The following is a 21737-nucleotide window of genomic DNA, read 5'->3' as shown; positions in this document are numbered from 1 at the left end:
AATAAATATTTAAAAATCAGATTTTATAAGCCTGCCATGTTTGGGGGAGAGAGCAGTAATTACTCATTCTAGAACAGAAGGCTTCATTTTATGAAAGCATTTGCCTGAAGATATCTTTAGAAATTTATATATGCAAATATGTGTTTCCAAAAAATGAGATTACATTATATATTTTTTTCTTTAGAAACATCTACACTGATATGGTTTGGATTTGTGTCCCCGCCCAAATCTTATATCAAATTGTAATCCCCCATGTTGGAGGAGAGGCCTGGTGGTGATTGGATGATGGGGGCAGATTCCCCCTTGCTGGTATCATGATAGTGAGTTCTCAACAGACCTGGTTGTTTAAAAGTGTGTAGCAGCTTCCCCTTCTCTCTCTTCCTCCTGCTCTGGCCACGTAAGACATGCCTGGTTTGTCTCCACCTTCTGCCATGATTGTAAGCTTCCTGAGGCCTCCCAGGCATGCTTCCTGTACAGCCTGCTGACCTGTGAGTCAATTAAACCTCTTTTCTTTATAAATTACCCAGTCTCAGGTAGTTCCTTATAGCAATGCTAGAACAGACTAATACATTCACCAAACTAATAATTATGGCTACTCTTTGTATATATGAATTGTTTTAGTATTGTCTTTTCTTCTTACAATAAATACACATTACTTTTATTATAATGGAAAAAATATTCTAAAGTTCCTCTAGTGCAAATATTAAATACTTGAATTTTAAAGCTAGGATTCACCTTCTGTTTGAATGAAAATGCCTCAAGTATGCCTTTTCAGTAAGCATCTACTGAGCATCTGTGGAGTGCCTGGTGGTGTACTAAGAGAAGCCCAAAGGAAAATTCCTGTTCCTGCAGAATCTAAACCTTATTGGCACGGTTCACGGGTATCTTTACAATAAGTAGCCAATACATGATAGACCTTCAATAAACACTTGTTTAATAAATATATGCATGTACCATCATAGGATTTATTTTTCAAACTCTCGTTTCACAGAGAATTAGCCTCGTTCAGTTCACTTATCACACAAACATCATACTTCATCACTTCTAAGACACATATTGTCCACATCTCAACTCTAAAATCAGAATGAAGCTTATTGTCAATGTGATTTTTTAAAGTATTGTATCAGACAATTTGCAGCATTTTCTCTTTCATAATGGTAAATGATATGGTTTGGCTGTGTCCCCACCCAAATCTCACCTTGAATTGTAACTCCCACAATTCCCATGTGTTGTGGGAGGAACCTGGTGGGAGGTGATTGGATTATGGCAGTGGGTCTTTTCTGTGCTGTTCTGGTGATAGTGAATGAGTCTCACAAGATCTGATCGTTTTAAAAATGGGAGTTTCCCTGCACAAGCTCTCTCTCCTTGCCTGCCACCATCCATGTAAGAAGTGACTTTCTCCTCCTTGCCTTCCACCATGATTGTGAGGCCTCCCCACCCATGTGGAACTGTAAGTCCATTAAACCTCTTTTTCTTCCCAGTCTTGAGTATGTCTTTATCAGCAGCATGAAAACAGACTAATATAGTAAACAAAATAACAATATGTCTTATCTTGACAGCATCTTAGATTGAATGAAATACAATATATATTTTATATATATATATACTTTAGAAAATACATGTGAATACTTGGGCATGCACCCCCTGAGGTTCAACTGGGAAAAGATTTCATAGGACCACTCCATTCCATGAATGTTCAAGCCCCCAGTGATCACATGAAATCCACAACTAGTAATTTATATAAATGTTAAAATCAACAGCAGACAAGTAGCAAGTTTATAAAAATGTGTGCATTTATGAGAGTTTATTTCTCAAATTTTTAAAATTATTATTGAATGTTAAACATGTATTTCTCATATTGGACTTTAATGTAAGGCATAAGTGTATATAAACATTATGTACATTTCTAAGCACTCATGTACTTAAAAGACTTGTATTTTAATGTTTGAAGTTAAAGGTTTAAAGTTTCTAAGAAACATGAAAATCACCAAACGGTGTAAGAACTGCAAAGTTATAAAAGAAACACCAATAAAATCTTACCGGAGAGATGAAATTAACTATGAGAAAAATGAAATTTTGTGACAAAGACAGGCAGAGAACACTTCAAGAAAGGCAACAATTTAAAAAATTTTTAGTGGGGCGTGGTGGCAAGTGCCTGCGGTCCCAGCTACTCTGGAGGCTGACGTAAGAAGATTGCTGGAGCCTAGGCAGTCAGGGCTGCAGTGAGCTGAGAGCATGCCACTGCACTCCTGCGTGGGCAACAGAGCAAGACCCCCATCTCAAAAGAAAATGTTTTAAAAGGACAAAACATAACCAAACTAATAAAATGTGAATCGTCAGCAAAGTATAACCTATGCTAACCACATAATAAAGGAATACCTCTGAGCAGTACAATGTAAAATATTGGGCAAATGCATTAAAGACATTAAGTAAATACAACAATATTTTAAAATAATAATTGACATACAGGCAATAATTATTGTGGTGTCTTGTGCCTATAATCCCAGCACTTTGGGAGGCCAAGGCGGGAGGATTGTTTCAGCCCAGGAGTTTGAGACCAGTCTGGCCAACACGGCAATACCCTGTCTTATCAAAATTAAAAAAAAAAAAATTCCAGCCTGACCAAAATGGCAAAACCTCATCTCTACTAAAAATACCAAAATTAGCCAGGCATGGTGGCATGCACCTGTAATCCCAGCTGCTCAGGTGGCTTAGGCACAAGAATCGCTTGAACCCAGGAGGCAGAGGTTGCAGTGATCCCTGATCATGCTACTGCACTCCAGCCTGGGTGACAGAGCAAGAATCTGTCTCAAAAAACCTTTTTAAAAATTTTTTTTAAAAAATAATTATTGACACCCAGGCTGGGCAACACAGTGAGACTTCATCTCTACAGAAATAATTTTTTAATTATCCAGGTGTGGTGGCGAGTACCTGTAGTCCTACATACTTGGGAGGCCAAGGCAGCAGGATTGCTTGAGCCAAGGAGTTCCAGGCTGCAGTGAGCTATGATTGCATTACTACGCTCCAGCCTGGGAGACAGAGCAAGATGCTGTCTTAAACAAAAAAATTTTTTTTTCTTTTTAGACAGAGTCTTGTTCTGTTGCCAGGCTGGCAAACTCCGCCTCCCGGGTTCAAGCAATTCCCCTGCCTCAGCCTCCCGAGTAGCTGGGACTACAGGCATGCGGCGCCACAACCAGCTACTTGTTTGTATTTTAGTACAGATGGGGTTTCACCATGTTGGCCAGGATGGTCTCGATCTCCTGACCTCATGATCCGCCCACCTTGGCCTCCCAAAGTGCTGGGATTTCAGGCGTGAGCCACCATGCCCGGCCAACAAATAAAAATTTTTAAAAATAATAATTATTGACATCTACTAGTTCAGTGACTGTATACCAGGTCTATCTAGTTTAATCATGCAGTCTCTTCACCATCTCTTAGCCTTCTTCTTCTATATGTTCTCAAAAAAGGAAGCTGATGTGGAAGCTAGAAAAAGAGAACAGGAAGAAATGGGACAAGCCATACTTTCAACCATTGGTGACCACTGCCTATCCCTTGCCTTCTGATCCTGTGACCACCAGGGCCTCCAAAATAACTTCACTGAGGACCTTTGAGAACTGCAGTCATCAGCTCTCTCCTCTCCCACACTACGCTTTCTTCCTTACTGGGATTAGGAATATAAAATCTGGACACACACAGGAGCTCACCTGGGCACATGCCCGTTCCCTGCTCTTGCCAACTCAAACCCTACCTCACCCACCCACTGATCAGAACAGAGTTGGGCAGTCCCAGCCAGGAGGTTCTTTTTCCTATTGCATGCTTTAGGGAATGATTTTCAAACTGGATAAGTTTCTATTACGATAAAATTAAAAAAGAGAAATTCACTTAAGACTGTATTATGCATGGAACATAGAAAGAAAACAAAACTGGATTTTTGTAATCAGCATGAAATTAAGATCTAAAAGACAAGGAAGAGGTGAGGACTAAGAAGAATATAGTACTATTATGACTACAAGTTTACAAAAATATTATCAAGTCATATTATACTGCTATTATTCACTGGAGTAATTTACCATTGACTTCAAAGTGCAGATCTGTTGGTAGAATGAAAAGGGCAAGATAAAGGGCAGACCTGATTCATTTAGGTGAGATTGAGACTAAAATTTACAGAGGTGAGAAAATTGTCTTTAAGAAGATACTGACCGACTGTGTTGTGATGGTAGAGGTTGCTTTTTTATACAAAATATTTTCAAGAAAGCCTTTTGAAAGCGCTTGTGACACAATGGATACAAAAGAGGATTGACAAAGGAATTGAACCACTGAAGCCAAAATGCAATTCTATACCAAACTGATTTAGGACCTGTTGCTGAGGAATAAAATGAAAGGACAATTGTGAACAGAGAATATGGAGCCCAGCAAACAGCAAAAACCCCTAAGAGAATGGCCAGTGACTTGGCTAATCTCCTGGCTCTAAGCAGTTCAACATGTTCCCTTTGGTGAAGAGCTACAGAATCTGATTGGGAGAAGGAACCCATTTTGGAAGCAATTGTATTGCTATTCATCTTGGTTCTTGAGGAAAACATGAGACTACTCTTTCTCCTCTGTCTCTCTGAATGAAAGGATGCAGGAACTTCTGTCGATGCAGAAAGAGATCTCCTTGAAGATAGTCTACCTCTGAATGAGTGTCCACAGATGTTGGAAGAGACAGCAGTCAGTCCAGGATGGCTTTGGCACCTACTGAGATGATCACGCTTCCACAGGCTCCAATAAATATTCATGTTGAAATAAGCGACTAAGATGACTGGGATCACGAATTCCAAGAATGATGTGATGGCAAGGATGTACCATTCCGAAAAAAATCCAGGTTCACATTCACTACCTTCATCCTTCCAAGACTCTGAAACTAGAATCATTGGCCCATTCACTAAGAAGGCCAGCACCCAAACGGCCACCATCAGAGTAACAATCTTCAAGACCCCAGTATGTTGAGTTCTATAAGACACCTAGAAGAAACCAAATTATTTTCAATATAATGAATGTGTATGTTGAATGCATAAAGTATCTCATAGATCCTTAGAAATTTCAGGGATGTGCAAAGGATGGAGACATTAACTAACCTGGGTATCACGATGTGGACCAGGACAGAGGGTTTGACTTCAGTGAAGCCTGGACCAAGAGGCAGACTTTCTTAATGGTTTTCAGGGGAGAAGACTGTTACCTTCAAGGTTAAATCCCTGAATACTATAGAAAATGTCAAGGCCAGTATGTAAAATAAGAAAGCAGTTTTTCCTAATTGACACTAATCTGAATGTCAAACAACTGAAGTTGGACGCACCTTACCACAGTATTGCTCAATCTTCAGGCTGAGCATGACCAGATCTTTTTAATGAAATAGAATAGTTGATGTCAGAATGCATCACATATAGTGAGGGTAGGTGTTCTTTAATGATGTTTCATCAAATAAAGCAATATGTCTTTGGGAATAGAGATACATATATATAAATAAAGAGAAATGCAGCTTCTCTGAATCACAGCACCAAATCCATTTCTCACTGTGGTCACAGTCAAAAGAGTTTGAAAGCCATTGCCTTATCTGATTCCAATATACAGAAAGAATCTACTCTGTGGTTTTTGCTGAGACTTCAAGGTGGAATCAAAAACAGAAAGACTCTCATCACTCCCAAGAAGATTAACCACAGACAAAAAGACTTTTTTTTTAGTTTTTATTTTATTTTATTTGTTTGAGACAGTTTCACGCTTGTCACCCAGGCTGGAGTGCAATGGCGCAATCTCGGCTCACTGCAACCACCGCTTCCCACGTTCAAGCAATTCTCCTGCCTCAGCCTTTTGAATAGCTGGGATTACAGATACCCACCACCACACCTGGCTAATTTTTGTATTTTTAGTAGAGATGGGGTTTCACCATGTTGACCAGGCTGGTCTCAAACTCCTGACCTCAGGTGATCTGCCCACCTCAGCCTCCCAGAGTGCTTGGATTACACATGTGAGCTACCGCACCTGGCCCAAAAAGGATTTTTAAACCTGCTGCAGATAAATACTACATTGCTATTAAGCATTACCAAGTCACTTCTTGGTGTTTGTTTGTTTGTTCATTTGTTTGTTTGTGACAGGGTCTCGTTCTGTTGCCCAGGGCTGCAGTGCAGTGGCACAATCACAGCTCACTGCAGCCTTGACTGCCTAGGCTCAAGTGATCCTCCTGCTTCAGCCTCCCAAGTGGCTAGGACCACAGATGTACACCACCACACCCAGCTAAATTTTTTTGTTATTTGTAGAGATAATGCCTCACTATGTTGTCCATGCTGGTCTCGAACTCCTAGATTCAAGTAATCCTCCTGTCTTAGCCTCTCAAAATGCTGTGATTACAAACTTGAGCCCACCCAGCCCACCCACGTTACTTCTTGATGCAAGTGTTTCCACCTGACAAATACAATGTCAAAGCTGTGACAACCAGCCACTTTGAGAGATATGACTGTGGCTAGTGCCACCATCTTTTTTAAGGATGAAGAATATTCTAACTCCCCTTGGTCACAAGGACAGGCTTCTATAAAGGAAAATGAGATTCTATGAGTGAGGACTGCCCTCCCATCACAGGACCCACAATCCTTATGTCAATCCTGAAATCTTTAATAATGTCTTCTAAATCTAAAGACCCCTAAGACCAATCACTCTATGAGGTATAAGGAACTCTTTAAGGTGACCTGAAACAGACAAACTCTCTGAACCTCATTTAAATCAGTAAGGTTTTGGCCCAGCACGGTGGCTCACACCTGTAATCCCAGCACTTTGGGAGGCCGAGGCAGGCAGATCACAAGGCCAGGAGATCGAGACCAGCCTGGCCAACATGGTGAAACCCCATCTCCACCAAAAATACAAAAATTAGCCTGGCATGGTGGCTCGCACCTGTAGTCCCAGCTCTCGGGAGGCTGAGGCACAACAATCACTTAAACCAGGGAGGCAGAGGTTTCAGTGAACCGAGATGGAGCCACTGCACTCCAGCCTGGTGACAGAGTGAGACTCTCAAAAAAAAAAAAATCAGTAAGGTTCCAAGGTTCCTTTCAGCTCTCATGTTCCATGTTTCTTTAATTTCCTCTCTCACAGGCAAAAAAAAATGGATCTACCCATGAAATTGGTACATGCTTCCTTTTTTCTATTTCTTGTGTCATATTTGTTCTGTGAGATTTTAAGTCTCGTTCTGCAATGGTTTCTCATGGTTTAAAGGGGTGCAGCATTGCCCAGCACTCTTTCTTTGATGGATCCTACAGGCTGAGAAGACCTCTATTGGCTGGAGGTAAAAGAAAGCTAGTTAATAATTTAAAAATAAAAACACTAAGTTTTCTTTTTAACTGTAGGGAGGTGCACTTGGTTGTTTTTTTTTTCTCTCTCAAATTGCTGGTCTTTTTGAGGCTAAGCTAAAATGCATATGGTGCTGACCATGAGCTCTCACATGCGATACACTTTTTTTTTTGCCTTCTGCTTCCTGTGCCACTAATTAATACATCTCTTGCACTAAATCTAATGATTATGAAGATGGTAACAATACCCAGATGGTGCTAAAGCTGCATTTAGTTTTTTAATTGCTCTGCTCAGCCTTGGTAATGATATAACACAATATGTTGGAAAGTGATCTCTCTTCCGTTATGCATAAGGTCAGTTGAGATAATGGACAGCCAAGGAGCTGTGAAGAGGATGCTGATCTGTGCATCTCCGGGGAGCATATTTGAAAGATAGACAGCTCAAGCATTGCTTGAATCGGAACCAGGCTGCGTGGAGTGGTGTCCCTGAAATCCCGCAGCGGCCTAGCTCTTGCCCACTACAGAATATGCCCATTATTCAGGACACTGTCTCTTACCCTACTTTTTTCCCGCCCCAATAAAATATCCACACCTTCTGTCAATCAGGTTTTTTTGGTGAGGCCGAGCGGCCTACTAGAACTTGTTGGTGTTCATAATGAGATGGATTTCAGGACCATTCTAAGTGCCTGTTGTGGGTTAAATTATGTCCCCCAAAAAGTATGGTGAAGTCCTAAACCCCTCAGTACCTGTGAATGTGACCTTATTTGGAAATATGGTGTTTGCAGATGTAATCCAGTTAAGATGAGGTCATACTGAATTAGGGGTCACCCTATCCAATATGTTCTCATAAGAAGAGAAAACAGAGACACAGACACAGACCCAGGGAGACAACACCACGTTACAACAGATGTAAAGACTGGAGGGACGCATCTACAAGCCAAGGAATGCCAGGGGTTGCTGGCAACACCAGCAGCTAAAAGACAGGCACAGAACAAGGTGTCCTGGAGCCTTCTGAGAAAGGATGGCCCTGTCAGCACCTTGATTTCAAATGTCTAGTCTCCAGAACAGTGACAGAATAAATTCCTGTTGTTTTCAGCAACCCAGTTTGTGGTCTTGTTTTGGTAGCTCCAGCAAACAAACACAATGCCCCAGCGTGTCCTCCCAGCCATGAGATTTCCTGTGGTCTTGATTTTACTGTCAAGTTTCTTTCTTCATCTGCAGGTAAAGAAATACCCTTCTTTTACTATCTTAATTCTGTATACTTTTTTGTACTTTTTTTTTTGAGACAGAGTCTTGCTCTGTCGCCCAGGCTGGAGTGCAGTGGTGCGATCTTGGCTCACTGCAGCCTCCGCCTCCTGGGTTCAAGTGATTCTCCTGCCTCAGTCTCCCGAGTAGCTGGGATTACAGGCGCCCGCCACCAAGCCTGGCTGATTTTTGTATTTTTAGTAGAGACTGTGTTTTGCCATGTTGGCCAGGCTGGTCTCGAACTCCTAACCTCAAGTGATCTGCCAGCCTCGGCCTTCCAAAGCCCTGGGATTACAGGCATGAGCCACCGCGCCAAACCCTTTTTGTACATTTTAATTCCCATTCCCTCCAGCTACCATGAAGCCCTGCTGTTCTCCTTCCCCACCCAACTCTGACTTCAGCCACATGGAATCTGCACCTCCAGAAAACCTCTCTGAGGACTGTAATCATGTGCTCCACCTGCACTGGGCTTTTCTTTTCCAAATTATTGTCAGATTTCCATTTCCCAGGCCACCCATCCCTTTCCCCTATCACACTGTCTCCTGTACTTTCAGCTACCGTAAGAGTTCAGCTTCCCCACTGCTACTTCCTATGGGATCCCAGTGTCTTTGAAGGCTTCCTTCTGTTTTCACACGGCTGCATTTGAACTATTCACCAGCAGAGATACAAGGTCTGCCTGAGCACCCCTGCCAGCATCCATACATTCATTTGTGGAACCCTATATATTTTACTCTGTGCTGTGCACTGGGGACCCAGGATCTAGCCAACCCATCCCTCACCAAGTTTACAGCCTGAATTTCCAGGGGAATTACTCGAGGCAAGACCAGGATTTAAAAACAAAAAACAGGCCGGGCATGGTGATTCATGCCTGTAATCTTAGCACTTTGGGAGGCTGAGGGGGGCGGATCACTTGAGGTCAGGAGTTCAAAATCACCCTGGCTAACATGGCAAAACCCCATCTCTACTAAAAATACAAAAATTGGCCAAGCGCGCTGGCACGCGCCTGTAATCCCAGCTACTCAGGAGGCTGAGGCACAAGAATGGCTTGAACCCGGGAGGGGGAGTTTGCAGTGAGCCGAGATCATGTCACTGCAGTCCAGCCTGGGCGACAGAGCCAGACTCTGTCTCAAAGAAATAAAAATAAAAACAAAAAAAGCAAAAAAACAAAAAGAAAGTCTACATTCCCCTGGGCATCATCCCTCATCTCTCTGTAACCTCTAAGCACTTTTCCCAACTGGGTAAGCTGTCCCTTTTCTGCCCACAAACCTGAGAGTAAATTCAAAAGCTGGGACATCTAGAGAAGGAAGCCCTAGGAACATCCAGTGGAGATTAAAAAGAAATGTTAACCCAGAAAGAAAGGAAATTTTGAAAGTACAAATGGGAAAGATTCTGAATTAGAGCATTATTTTTCAAACACTTGACTGTGATCTAAAGTAAAATTATATTGTATATCACAACCAAGCACACAGATGGAAGTATTCATAAATCAGTATTTACTTTTATTATGTACAAGATAATCTGAAGGTTTCTAATTTTTTATTTTGTTCTATTACATTTCTTTTTTTTTTTTTTTTTTTTTTTTTTTGAGATGGAGTCTTGCTGCGACACCCAGGCTGGAGTACAATGGTGCAATCTCAGCTCACTGCAACCTCCGCCTCCCGGGTTCAAGCAATTCTCCTTCCTCAGCCTCCCAAGTAGCTGGGATTACAGGCAAGCGCCACCATGCCTGGCTAATTTTTTTGTATTTTTAGTAGAGGCGGGGTTTCACCATATTGGCCAGGCTGGTCTCCAACTCCTGACCTCAAGAGATCCACCTGCCTTGGCCTCCCAAAGTGCTGGGATTACAAGCGTGAGCCAACATGCTCAGCTGTTCTATTCTGTTTCATTCCATATTTTTTTAATGAAAAAAAAAGGTCACAACCCACTAAATTGATTTCATAAATCAATAATGGGTCAAGGCCAGCAGTTTGAAAAATATGAGACTATAGGCATTTGAATTGTTAATCCAAGCTGATCTGCACTCTCCGCATACAATACAAACTGCAGTGGTCCCTGGCGCCAATGAAGTATGCGATGTTAAGGAGGAGACATAGCTGGCTGTCCTCCCACATCCATTCTCACCTCCTTCCTGACTATGTGGTGGCTCGACTAGAGTTTCCCAGCTTCCTTTGTGGCGAGATGGGACCATGTGACTAAGTTTCACCAATAAAATGTAAGCGGAAATGACTGTGTGATTCTGCACTACTTGGTTAAAAAAAAAAAATCCCTTGCTCTGGACTTCTTCCCTTTCCTAGAATCTAGTATGACAACAACCTGACTTTGGCCATGCAGAGGAGGAGAATGGACTAAAGCAGAGGCCAGAAAACTACTGTCCGTGAAACAAATATGGGCTAGGCGCAGTGGCTCATGCCTGTAATCCCAGCACTTTGGGAGGCAGAGGCAGGTGGATCACATGAGATCAGGAGTACAAAACCAGCCTGGCCAACACGGTGAAAGCCCATCTCTACTAAAAATACAAAAATTAGCCAGGCATGGTGGCATGCGCCTGTAATCCCAGCTACTCGGGAGGCTGAGGCAGGAGGATCACTTGAACCTGGGAGGCAGAGGTTGCAGTGAGCCAAGATCATGGCATTGCACTCCAGCCTGGGTGACACAGTGAGACCCTGTCTCCAAAAAAAAAAAAAAAAAAATAGAGAAACAAATGTGGCCCACCACCTGTTTGGGCAAATAAAGTTTTATTGGAACAGAGCCAAGTACACTTTTGTATATATCATCTATGGCTGTTTGGGGGCTACGATGGCACATTTGAGCAGTTGCAACAGAAACAGTAGGTTCTACAAAGCCAAATTATTTGCTATCTGGCTCTTGATAATGAAAGTTTGCCAGTCCCTGCCCCAAAGGGTGCAGAGCCACCCTGCCAGCAGGGTTCCTGGGTGAGTTCCTGGAGCAGAGAATCCACTCTTTCATGGACTGTTATGTAAGAGAAAAATAAACATTTATCTTGCTTAAGCCTCCACATTTTGGAGACTCTTTGTCACAGCAGTTTATCTATGCCTGATCTAATACACCTTCCAATCCTGTCAACCTCCAGCTGCACAATCGTCCCAGGCTAGATCTGTCACTGTCCTCTCAACACCCCAGGACAGCACTTAGTCCATTGTACTGAACCGATTTGTTCCTGGATCTGCCTCCACGTAGATGACTATGCTCGTCAAAAATACAGACTCACACAAAAAAAGAAACAATAGATACCGGGGCCTACCTGAGGGTGGTGGGTGGGAGGAGGGAGAGGATCAAAAAACTACCGATCAGATACTGTGCTCATTCCCCGGGTGACAAAATAATCCCTACGCCAAAACCCCCGCGACACGCAGCTTACTCATGTAAAAAAACCTGCACACATACCCCCTGAGGCCAAAACAAAAGTTGGAAAGAAAAATGAAATGGAGACTCTGCATATTCACTTCTGTATCCCAGCACTTAGCAAAATGCCTGTCACACAGTAGTCCCCCAAAGAGTTGGGTCCCTGAGAGGGGAGTGAAGGAAGTTTCCTATCTAGGCCTCAAAGGTTTCAGATCACTGCCCCACATTTCTATGGCCCCCTTGTCCTTATTTCAACTTTATTTTCTCTTTTGATCCATTGCTGAGAAATTTAGCTGACTTAAAAATTTCCACTAACTCGTAGATGAGGCTATTCCAAATCTTGAGTAAGTTCCACCTTTCTTGGCCCAGGTTCTAAAAGGGCATGAGGACTTGATCTTTCTGGCTGGTCCCACTGTGTAAACTGTAGCTTCCCTATATACTGTCTTTTCGTTTGGCCATTCAGAATTGATTTTCTCATCACATTTCAAAGTATGGGATTCTTTCTACTGCCCTCCAAGTTCCATTCCGAGGAATATATTCAGGTCATATACTCCATATGTCTGTGGAGTAGAACCCATAAACCTGTCATGAATGTCATGTCTATCCAATCTACTATAGACTTAGTATACCAGTTGGGACAACTTGCCTTGGGTTTTCTTTGATTCCTTCCCATTTCAATGGTGCATAGGTGAGTGAATTATCCAAGTCACACAAACTAACAACCAGCAAGAACTTTATGCCAGACAACAAAAGGATAGGGTTCCTCTAAGGCCTGTCGATTAAATTAACAATTAGGCTTAAAAGAATTTTTGCTTGAGGACCCATCATATACATTTACATAATCTTCTAAGGGGGATAAATTAATGTTTCGACTTACAGCATTTGAGACTGACAGGTATCGATCATAGCTGATGAGGACAATGTTATATACAGATGCTGTACATAACAGATAGTCAGTAGTGAGCCAAAATACACAGATTTCCTTTCCAAAATCCCATTCGAACAGCGTGTGAGGGATGTACAAAGGAATGGAGATCACACCTGCACAGGGAAAACATAAGTGTAAAAACATAGCGCACATCAATGAACACAAATGTGCATGTTTTAATGGCTACACAACACAATGACCTATCTGAATTCACTACAAATGATTTGTCTCTAATTTAGAAATTCACGGTATTTCATCAAGCAGCTCAGGACTGATTTTCTACACACTCCTTAAACGCCATTTTTAGAAGAGGGGTCATGAACATTGCACAGTGGGCCCTCTTTATCCATGAATTCTACATCTGTGGATTCAACCAACCACAGATAGAAAATATTTGGAAAAAAACTGCATCTGTACTGGACATGTATAGACTTTGACTAATGGTAATGACTTCTGGTCATTATTCTCTAAACACTACAGTATAACAACTATTTACATAGCACTCACATTGTCTTTGGTATTATACATAATCTACTGATGATTTAAAGTATACGGGAGGGGCCGGGCGTGGTAACTCACGCCTGTAATCCCAGCACTTTGAGAGACCAAGGTGGGTGGATCACTTCAGGACAGGAGTTCGTAACTAGCCTGGGCAACATGGTGAAACCCCATCTTTATTATTAAAAATAATAATAAATAATAAAGTATATGGGAGGATGTACATAGGTTATATGGAAATACTACAGCATTTTATATCAGGGACTTCAGCTTTCTTGGATTCTGCTATCTAAGGGGATTCCTGGAACAAACCCCCCACAGACACCAAGGGGCGACTGTACTTTCAATGGCTCCTTTCTACTTTCCAAATTAAGTACAGGTCTTGTATTTCTAGCCACAGGCAGCATAAATCATCTTTACTTTTTTCATGCTCTAACCCCAACAGGATGGACCACCCTTCCCCCAAACACATGGCACATTTTCACATCTCTTTTTTCTCTGCCAACATCATTCTTTCTTCCCAAAATGTCCACCTGTCTTCTACTAAAAAGTCAATTCAGGCCGGGCACGGTGGCCCACACCTGTAATCCCAGCCCTCTGGGAGGCCGAGGCAGGTGGATCAACTGAGGTCAGGAGTTCAAGACCAGCCTGCCCAACATGGTGAAACCTCATCTCTACTAAAAATACAAAAATTAGCTGGGCATGGTGGTGCACGCCTGTAATCCCAGTTATTCAGGAGGCTGAGGCAAGAGAACCGCTTGAACCCGGGAGATGGAGGTTGCAGTGAACTGAGATGGGGCCACTGCACTCCATCCTGGGTGACAGAGCAAAACTCTGTCTCAAAAAAATGAAAATAAAAAATAAATAAAAAGTCCATTCACTTCTTTCTCATTTTTCACTGAGGCCAAAAAGTGACCTCCTCCATGCCCTCTTTCTTGGAGCTTCCTCAGTGGAAGTGACCCCTCTGTCCTCTGCACTTTCCTGGTTCTTTGCTCATCTTTCCCTCTCTCATGCATTAATTACATTCTACTTTTATATCATAGTCATCTTTTTAGTCTGTCTCTCCTGAGGATTAGGGTCATATCGCAAATCAATCTTTGTATTTCCTACAACCTCTAGAGTTGGCCAATGACTTGTACATTTCACTTAAATTAGTAACAGCTAATATGTCTTATACAATTACCATATGGCAGACCCTGTGCTGTGTGCATTGCAAATGTCACCTCATTTCATCTTCATAGAAACTTTGTGAGGAAGGGACCATGCTGAGTTAACAGTTAAAGAACCTAAAGCTCAGAAAAGAGATAATTAGACCAAGGTCCACTCAACTAGCAAGTGGAGAAGATTGCATCTGAAACCAGGGATTGTGATTTCAGAACCTCTGACTTTACCTGCAACTCTTCACTGCATGAACAAATAGATAAGCTCTACCACAGTGATTCAGCCCAGCATAGAAACTGCTTAACTGAAAAGTGACGAAACGAGGTTCCTTTTCCTTTAGCTTTTAGGGGTTTGTAATTGCATTGGCATTTCAGACAGGTGTGATTAGTTGCTAAGAATATGATCTATTAAGTGGAAGCTGAGATGAAATCTTACTTTGTTGAGTTACTTCAAATGTATCAGGTACTTCCAGGAATTCCCATTTTTTCATGAGAACCAAATTAGTCTATTATTAAGAATAGTAAAGTTAAAGGAAAAGGAAAGGAAGAAGGAAAGCCTGCATTCTCCAAAACAAGACCACATGAGGCTATAATGGCATGGTTTCAGAACCAGTGGAAGGTAGTGCTAAACCCTAGTATTCTGTCCCTAGGTACAAGACACCACAGAGATGAAGAGTTGCGTGGTCAGTTCTTATATGTAGTTTAAATAACCTGTTTGTTTCATGTTTCAATTATATTTTTAATGATAAGTAAACTTCCTTAGGGTGCCTTTCATCTCCAGAGTATGTGTGTGTATGTCTATGGTATAAAATAGGTCACTGGCTGAGAGTGGTGGCTCATGCCTGTAATTCCAGCACCTTGGGAGGCTGAGGCAGGTAGCTCACTTGAGCTCAGGAGTTGGAGACCAGCCTGGGCAACATGGCAAAACCCTATTTCTACAAAAAAAAAAAAAAAATACAAAAATTAGCTGGACATGGTGGCACAAGCCTGTAGTTCCAGCTAACCAGGAGGTTGAGGCAGGAGGATCATTTGAGCCAGGGAGGTCAAGGCTGGAGTGAGCCATGATCACGCCACTGCACTCCAGCCTGGGCAACAGAGTGAGACCCTGCCTCAAAAATAAATAAATATATATATATAAAATAATATAGGTCACCAGGTCCACTTGAGGTAAATCAAAGTATCCCAAAACAGACATTTATTATATTTCAGCCCACGGTTGTGGCTTCCAATGTTCCCAACATGAGTATTTTCAACACTGGAACTCATTTCTTTCACAGAATGAGAAAGAAGAGAGATACTAGTAATGCATTCTAGACACCACTGACTGAGAGGTTCAGGGCAGGGGGTGGGAGGTAAATGCTCTTTGTCACACGCTTTCTGATTTATGCAAAAGAGGAAAGGTGTGTTCAAAAGCCTAGGAGCTGCTGGAAACAGTGGTTAGCTGAAGACAGGCTCTAGGATATTCCTTTGGTTTTCATAACCCCCACTGTGCTGTCACCCTGAATTCTAGGTAATGCTTCCGTACTTGTGTCATGCTCAGTTCCTCTGTCTTGTTGAGCAACAGAGATGTCTGTGGCTCGTTCCGAACGAGTTGCAAAAAAACGGAATCTGAACTATTTCTCTAATATACCTACTCTGAAGTGTTTCTACACCTTCGATTCTGGAATTGTGTTTTTGGGTCAAATGGAGCTGATAAGTAAAACTAAGAGCCAGTTTCTTGAAAAGATTAAGACAAAAGTAAAAGAAAACAAGCTATATGCCCCCACCTCCGCAGTCCCACTCCTACTTCTCACCCCTCAATCACTCCATCCCAGCCGTTCTGGCCTCCAATGCACCACCCACCCTTCTGCCTCAGATCCTGCGCACCTGCTGTTCCTTGGCGTGAAATGCTCTTCCCCCAAGGGCGCCTTCTGTTTGCTCAAATGTCTTTCCTTTTTGTTTTGTTTGTTTGTTTTTTGACGCAGTCTGGCTCTGTCACCCAAGTCGGAGTGCAGTAGCATGATCTCGACTCACTGCAACCTCCACCTCCTGGGTTCAGGTGATTCTCCTGCCTCAGCCTCTTGAGTAACTGGGATTACAGGCACACGCCACCACGCCCGGCTAATTTTTGTATTTTTAGTAGAGATTGGAATTTCACCATATTGGCCAGGCTGGTCTCGAACTCCTGGCCTCAAGTGATCCACCCACCTTGGCCTCTCAAAGTGCTGGGATTACAGATGTGAGCCACCACGCCCAGGCTTCAAATGTGTCTTTCTCAGTAAATTCTAGCTCCAAGGTTTAAAATTGCAGCCCCACTCCCAGCACACTCCCTTTCCCTCCTCTCTGCATTTTTTTCAGTAGCAATTATCACCCTCTAAAATACTATAAAATTTGTCTTAGTTATTTTTCTTGTTTATTTTCTGTCTCCATGCCCCTGCTCCCAGTAGAAACAGAAGCATCATGAGGGCAGGGATTTTCACGTGTATTTTTACTGCTCTATCCCCAGCACCTCAGAAAGTGCCTCCTTCAAAAGAAATAATTGTTGGATGAACAAATAGATGAGGATGGAGAAGCCCAGTTTGCTTTAAAATTGCCACCCATCTGGCATCGTCCCTTCTTTCTAAGCCAGCTAAGAAGCTATATCTTCCATGAGAAAATGGCAATCAAAAGATGGCAGGAGCTAAAATCCCCAAGTAAATCCTTTGGGCCGCCAGAGGAATGTGTGGATGATGGTGAGTGCACAGAGGGTGTTATGGCCTGAATGTGTATGTGCCCTCCCCAAATTCACATGTTGGAGCTCTAACCCCCCATGTGGCTATATTTGGAACTAAGACCTTCAAGGACAAAATTAAGAGTAAAACAGTTCATAAGAGTGGGGCCCTGATCCAATAGTGTGCTTATAAGAGGAGACAACAGAGAGCTCACTCTCTCTCTCTGTGCGCACTCAGAGAAAGGCCTCTTGAGGACGCAGGTAGACGGCAGCCGTCTGCAAGCCAGAAAGACAGCCCTCATCAGGAACCAATATTGGCCAGAATCTTGATCTGGGATGTCCCCAGCTCCAGAACTGTGAGAAAATAAATGTCAGTTGTTTAAGCCACCCAGTCTAGGGTATTTTGTTATGGCAGCCTGAGCAGATAAATACAGAAGGCCAGAAAAGAGTCTTGAACTCAGGCATACAGGTATCAAGATAAATTCTGCCATCCTGAACACTTGGTTCAGGCTCTGATAGCAGCAACCACCTTTATCCCCTGAAGATCCTGTCCAGCCATCTGTCACATGGTCATGTAGGCCACAAACGCCAACACAACATGGGGATGAGAAGAAAGTACCCACAAATGGAAACACTGGTTACATGGTAACACTTTTATTGATATTGATGTAGATATAGATAGTATGTTTCCCAAAATAGTATACAGATGAGGTGTATTTATATAACGTCCGGTATAGCTAGTACTAGAATTTTTCCTCAATAAATCTTTGCTCTCAACAGTAAATTCAGCCTGAGAAATTAGCAACTTGGGTGCCACAAATTTAGATTCTCCGCAGAGGGCCAGTTCTGAAACCTGGGGGGAAGAGGGCATTCAGCCAGCAAAGCCACAGTTCCAAGCACATGTGAGGGTCTAATCTGCCCTGCCATGGTCACATGGCTCTGGAGCTCTGGATCTCATGACCCCAAATGTTAAGAATCAATGGCTAACAGCTGCAGAAAACCTCTCACGAGTTCTGCCCTGCATGCTCACCACGTCCACGCCTTCTTCCAGGCTGAGACAAAAGGTTCATTTCCCAGCATGGCAAAGGAGAAAGAACAGCACTGCCAGAAAACTTGAATCCTGTTACAAAAAGCTCCCAGGGACTGTGTCATGGTGAGCCCTGCATTAAATATGCAGACCTCTGGATGAAGCTGGCAGGAGGCAGGGGAGATGTGAGGGATGAGGCTGGCAGGCAGATGAAAGGAGACTCTGACCTGCACCCAACTCCTTTAATCAGGAGCAAAAGAAATTATCAGAATTATATCTTCACCCACCTGCTGATGGAGGAGATCACCAGGACTGCTGAATAACTACATCTGCAGGGCCATTTTCCAAAGACAAGCTCAAGCCCTTGAGGGTGGGACTGCCATGATGCTGGTCTTGGGCCAGACATGGAGACATTTTTACCTAGAACCATCTTGATTCAAAAGCTTCAGGCCCCAGGCTCTCTCAGCTGTCTCACCCTTCCCACCCTAAAACTGGGGCAGTCAGGGCCTCACTCCCTTTGGGTTAGTAAAAGCACATCATCTATTTTAAGTGATGACTGTCATCTAAAAGTCACAAGATCCTGTGAAGAAGGAAGAAGCAAAGGATACATATATTTATAGTGGAACTTTCTCTATGTTCACATAAATAAACTCGTGTATTTGTACATGTTTATGGGAGCACAGAGAATGATGTGGAAGGATCTACATCAAGCAGCAAATGTTGGTTACCTGAAGGGACAGAATTGAGGAAACAAATGTGGAGACAGTGCATTTTTTCAATACTTCTTTATGGGTTAGCTGCCTTTATGTGTCATTTCTATGCCATGACTCCTAAATCAATCTCCCCAACTAGAATTTTTCTCCAGAACTTTCAGTGCAACATCAGAACCAGAGCTGTCCTGCCCAAATACTTCCTGTTTCTTTGAAGAGCACCGTACCGTTCTTAGTCTCAGAAGCCCAATCTTTAACTCAGCTTTCTCTTTTCCCGCCCAACCACACCCTTAGCTGCTCTGCCTGTTGGCCTTCCTTTCCAATCATCCTAGCTCAGGTCCTAACTGCATGATTTCTGCCTAGATTGCTGCAGGATCATCTCTGAAAGCATGCCGCCCCACACTCCAGTTTCCCCATTTCCTACGGCTCTTCCGATGTCTCTAAAGTAAAGCTTTGATCTGTTCAACCACTCTCCTGTTTTAAAATCTTTAAATCTCCACAAGGCCTGCTGAATAAATTCCACTCCACACTCACGCTGGTATTTAAAGGCCCTCACTTTATAGATTTCATCTTCATCTCTACGGCTCCCCTGCACCTATCTGCACACCAGCCAGCTCCAAGCTCACTCACCCTTAGGAAGATAAGCACAATGATTTTCTACCAGCATGCCTTTGCTCATTCTTGGAGCAAAGAATCCTTCGCCCTATCTCTGACTATGGAAATTCTATCCATCTTTCAAAGTTCATGTTAAATGCCTCTATTCGCTAACTAAACGTGCTTTATCCCTCCTCCAAGTGACCATAGCACTTCTTAGGTCTTCGTGGGGTCTCGTGTTACTCTATACTGCTATAGTCATTTCTGAACATCTCTTGTCCACTCTTCTACATCAAAAACTTACTGGAAGAGACTAACCTAATCTTCTATAGATCCCTTGATTACCTAATAGTGCTTGCATACCTAGCAGTATTATACAGGCTAGATACTATACTAACATTTGTGACCTAGATTGGGGTTGACCCATATCTGCAGAGAAATTAAAAAAAAAAAAAAAAGAGAACTAACATTTGTTGAGTAACAACTGTATTCCAGGGAATGAACTAAGTATTTTGTGTGTTTATTTCACTTTAACATAAATGTAAGCTTTATGTAGTTATAGACAAAAATAATCTGAATATGCCAGATTAAATTATACTAGAAACTCCTGTAAAATAGTATCATCAGCTGACATTTCTGTACATCTACTTATTATGATAAGCATTGTTTAAAAATAAGAAGCATCAGGCAGTGAAAAATTATAAAGTGCGTGTTTTCAGAGAAAGTTGGTTTGATTTCTATGGTCTCTTAACGATGATATAATGCTATGATATCATATTATATGCAAGGCAGTTTACAGTTGGGTATATTTTACAAAATTCTATGCCATATCATTAAATTAATACTATTAATCATATTATTTAATTGATCTGAATACGCTATTTTCTGATTGCACTGGTTACTAGCATATACATAATTTCTTATTACTCCAACATTGTGATACCAACAAAACCATATTTACTTAAAGAGGAATACTTATAAGCCTAAACATATGAGGAAAATAGCACCAGAAACAAGTAACTCTTACATTAAAATTTTGGAGCTATACTGGACTTATCTTTATTCTATAAAAAGAAAATAAACTGTTTTCAGCTGAAAATTCCCCTACCACACTGATTTACATATGTATAACATTCCCTTACAGTGCCATATAGCCCCCTCCAAAATTTAATACTTAAACTTTTTGTGTTTATTTTTCCCCAGTTGTATACAGTCCCCTGAAATAACAAAAGCTTATTTTAAGGATTTAGAAATAAATTAAAATCGGAAAAGACTGTCTTAAATAAAGACATATAACTTACCCACAAAGAAGTCAGAGATGGCCAAGTTAAGAAAAAAATAACTACTTCGATGTCTAAGGTTTTTGTCCACCACAAAAGCTAAAATGACCAAAGCATTTCCTAGCATTATAGCAAAAGCTACTAAGGACATAAAAAATGCTAAAGTAACACGAGTGCTTAGTGATAAATTGATTGTGCTATTAGTATCTGGCATCACATCAAATGATGAAGAAGGTCAAATTAGCAAATTAATCCAGCCAGACAATTCTGACAAGTATGTTTTCTAATCACATACCTAAAATGTGTAGTCTTCCACTCAAAACAACACTGTTTTAATCTAATGCTGATCTCATAGTACTTCCTGATTCTTGATAAAGTAAGCTTGTGGTAACAGTTTCCCTTTAACTGACACTGAGAAAGTATTTCCAAAAAACAGTGAAATGTTTTACCTTAAACATTTTACTGTGATGCATCCATCTCCATTATTAGAATAAAATCATGTAATATCTATAAAATATAATCATTATACAGGAAATAAATTGGGCTCACACAAGGTTCATTGTTGTTGTTGTTGTTGTTGTTGTTGTTGTTGTTGTTGTTGTTTGGAGATGGAGTCTTACTCTGTTGCCCAGGCTGGAGGCCACTGATGTGAGCTCGGCTCATTGCAACCTCTGTCTCCCAGGTTCAGGCGATTCTCCTGCCTCAGCCTTCCAAGTAGCTGGGATTCCAGGCACTCATCACCATGCCCAGCTAATTTTTGTTATTTCTTGTAGAGATGGGGTTTCACCATGTTGACCAGGTTGGTCTTGAGCTCATGACCTAAAGTGATCCACCCACCTCGGCCTCCCAAAATGCTGGGATTATAGGCATGAGCCACCACACCAGGCCATTTTTAAAACTCGTGTAGATTCAGTTCAATATTCTCATCTGGCC

The 21737-nt window shown here is 42.0% G+C and overlaps 1 protein-coding gene across 3 annotated transcripts, besides 1 other annotated feature; it reads right to left on the bottom strand.

Annotated features, from left to right (window-relative positions):
* Positions 1 to 1772: 1772 nt before the first annotated feature.
* On the bottom strand, positions 1773 to 21110 carry HRH4 (histamine receptor H4). Of its 3 annotated transcripts, NM_021624.4 has the most exons (3): positions 20826 to 21110; positions 12796 to 12959; positions 1786 to 5000 (listed from the first exon to the last, which is right to left on the bottom strand). In NM_021624.4, the coding sequence occupies exons 1-3, from the start codon at positions 21016 to 21018 to the stop codon at positions 4185 to 4187; spliced, it is 1173 nt and encodes a 390-aa protein (NP_067637.2). In that variant the 5' UTR covers positions 21019 to 21110; the 3' UTR covers positions 1786 to 4184. The 3 variants fall into 3 exon arrangements, with proteins under 3 accessions (NP_001137300.1, NP_067637.2, NP_001153638.1); NM_001143828.2 differs by lacking the exon at positions 12796 to 12959 and having other exon boundaries at positions 1773 to 4900; NM_001160166.2 differs by lacking the exon at positions 12796 to 12959.
* Positions 8747 to 9247: an enhancer, noted in NCBI's record as "H3K27ac hESC enhancer chr18:22052464-22052964 (GRCh37/hg19 assembly coordinates)". NCBI's record gives its function as "activates a minimal SCP1, AML or CMV promoter by ChIP-STARR-seq in naive H9 embryonic stem cells {active_cell/tissue: H9 hESC(naive)}" and the evidence as "EXISTENCE:reporter gene assay evidence [ECO:0000049][PMID:30033119]".
* Positions 21111 to 21737: the final 627 nt, after the last annotated feature.

The sequence above is a fragment of the Homo sapiens genome, chromosome 18 (genome assembly GCF_000001405.40).
Source record: "Homo sapiens chromosome 18, GRCh38.p14 Primary Assembly".
NCBI lineage: Eukaryota > Metazoa > Chordata > Mammalia > Primates > Hominidae > Homo > Homo sapiens.
This window is presented reverse-complemented; position numbering and strand designations above follow the sequence as displayed.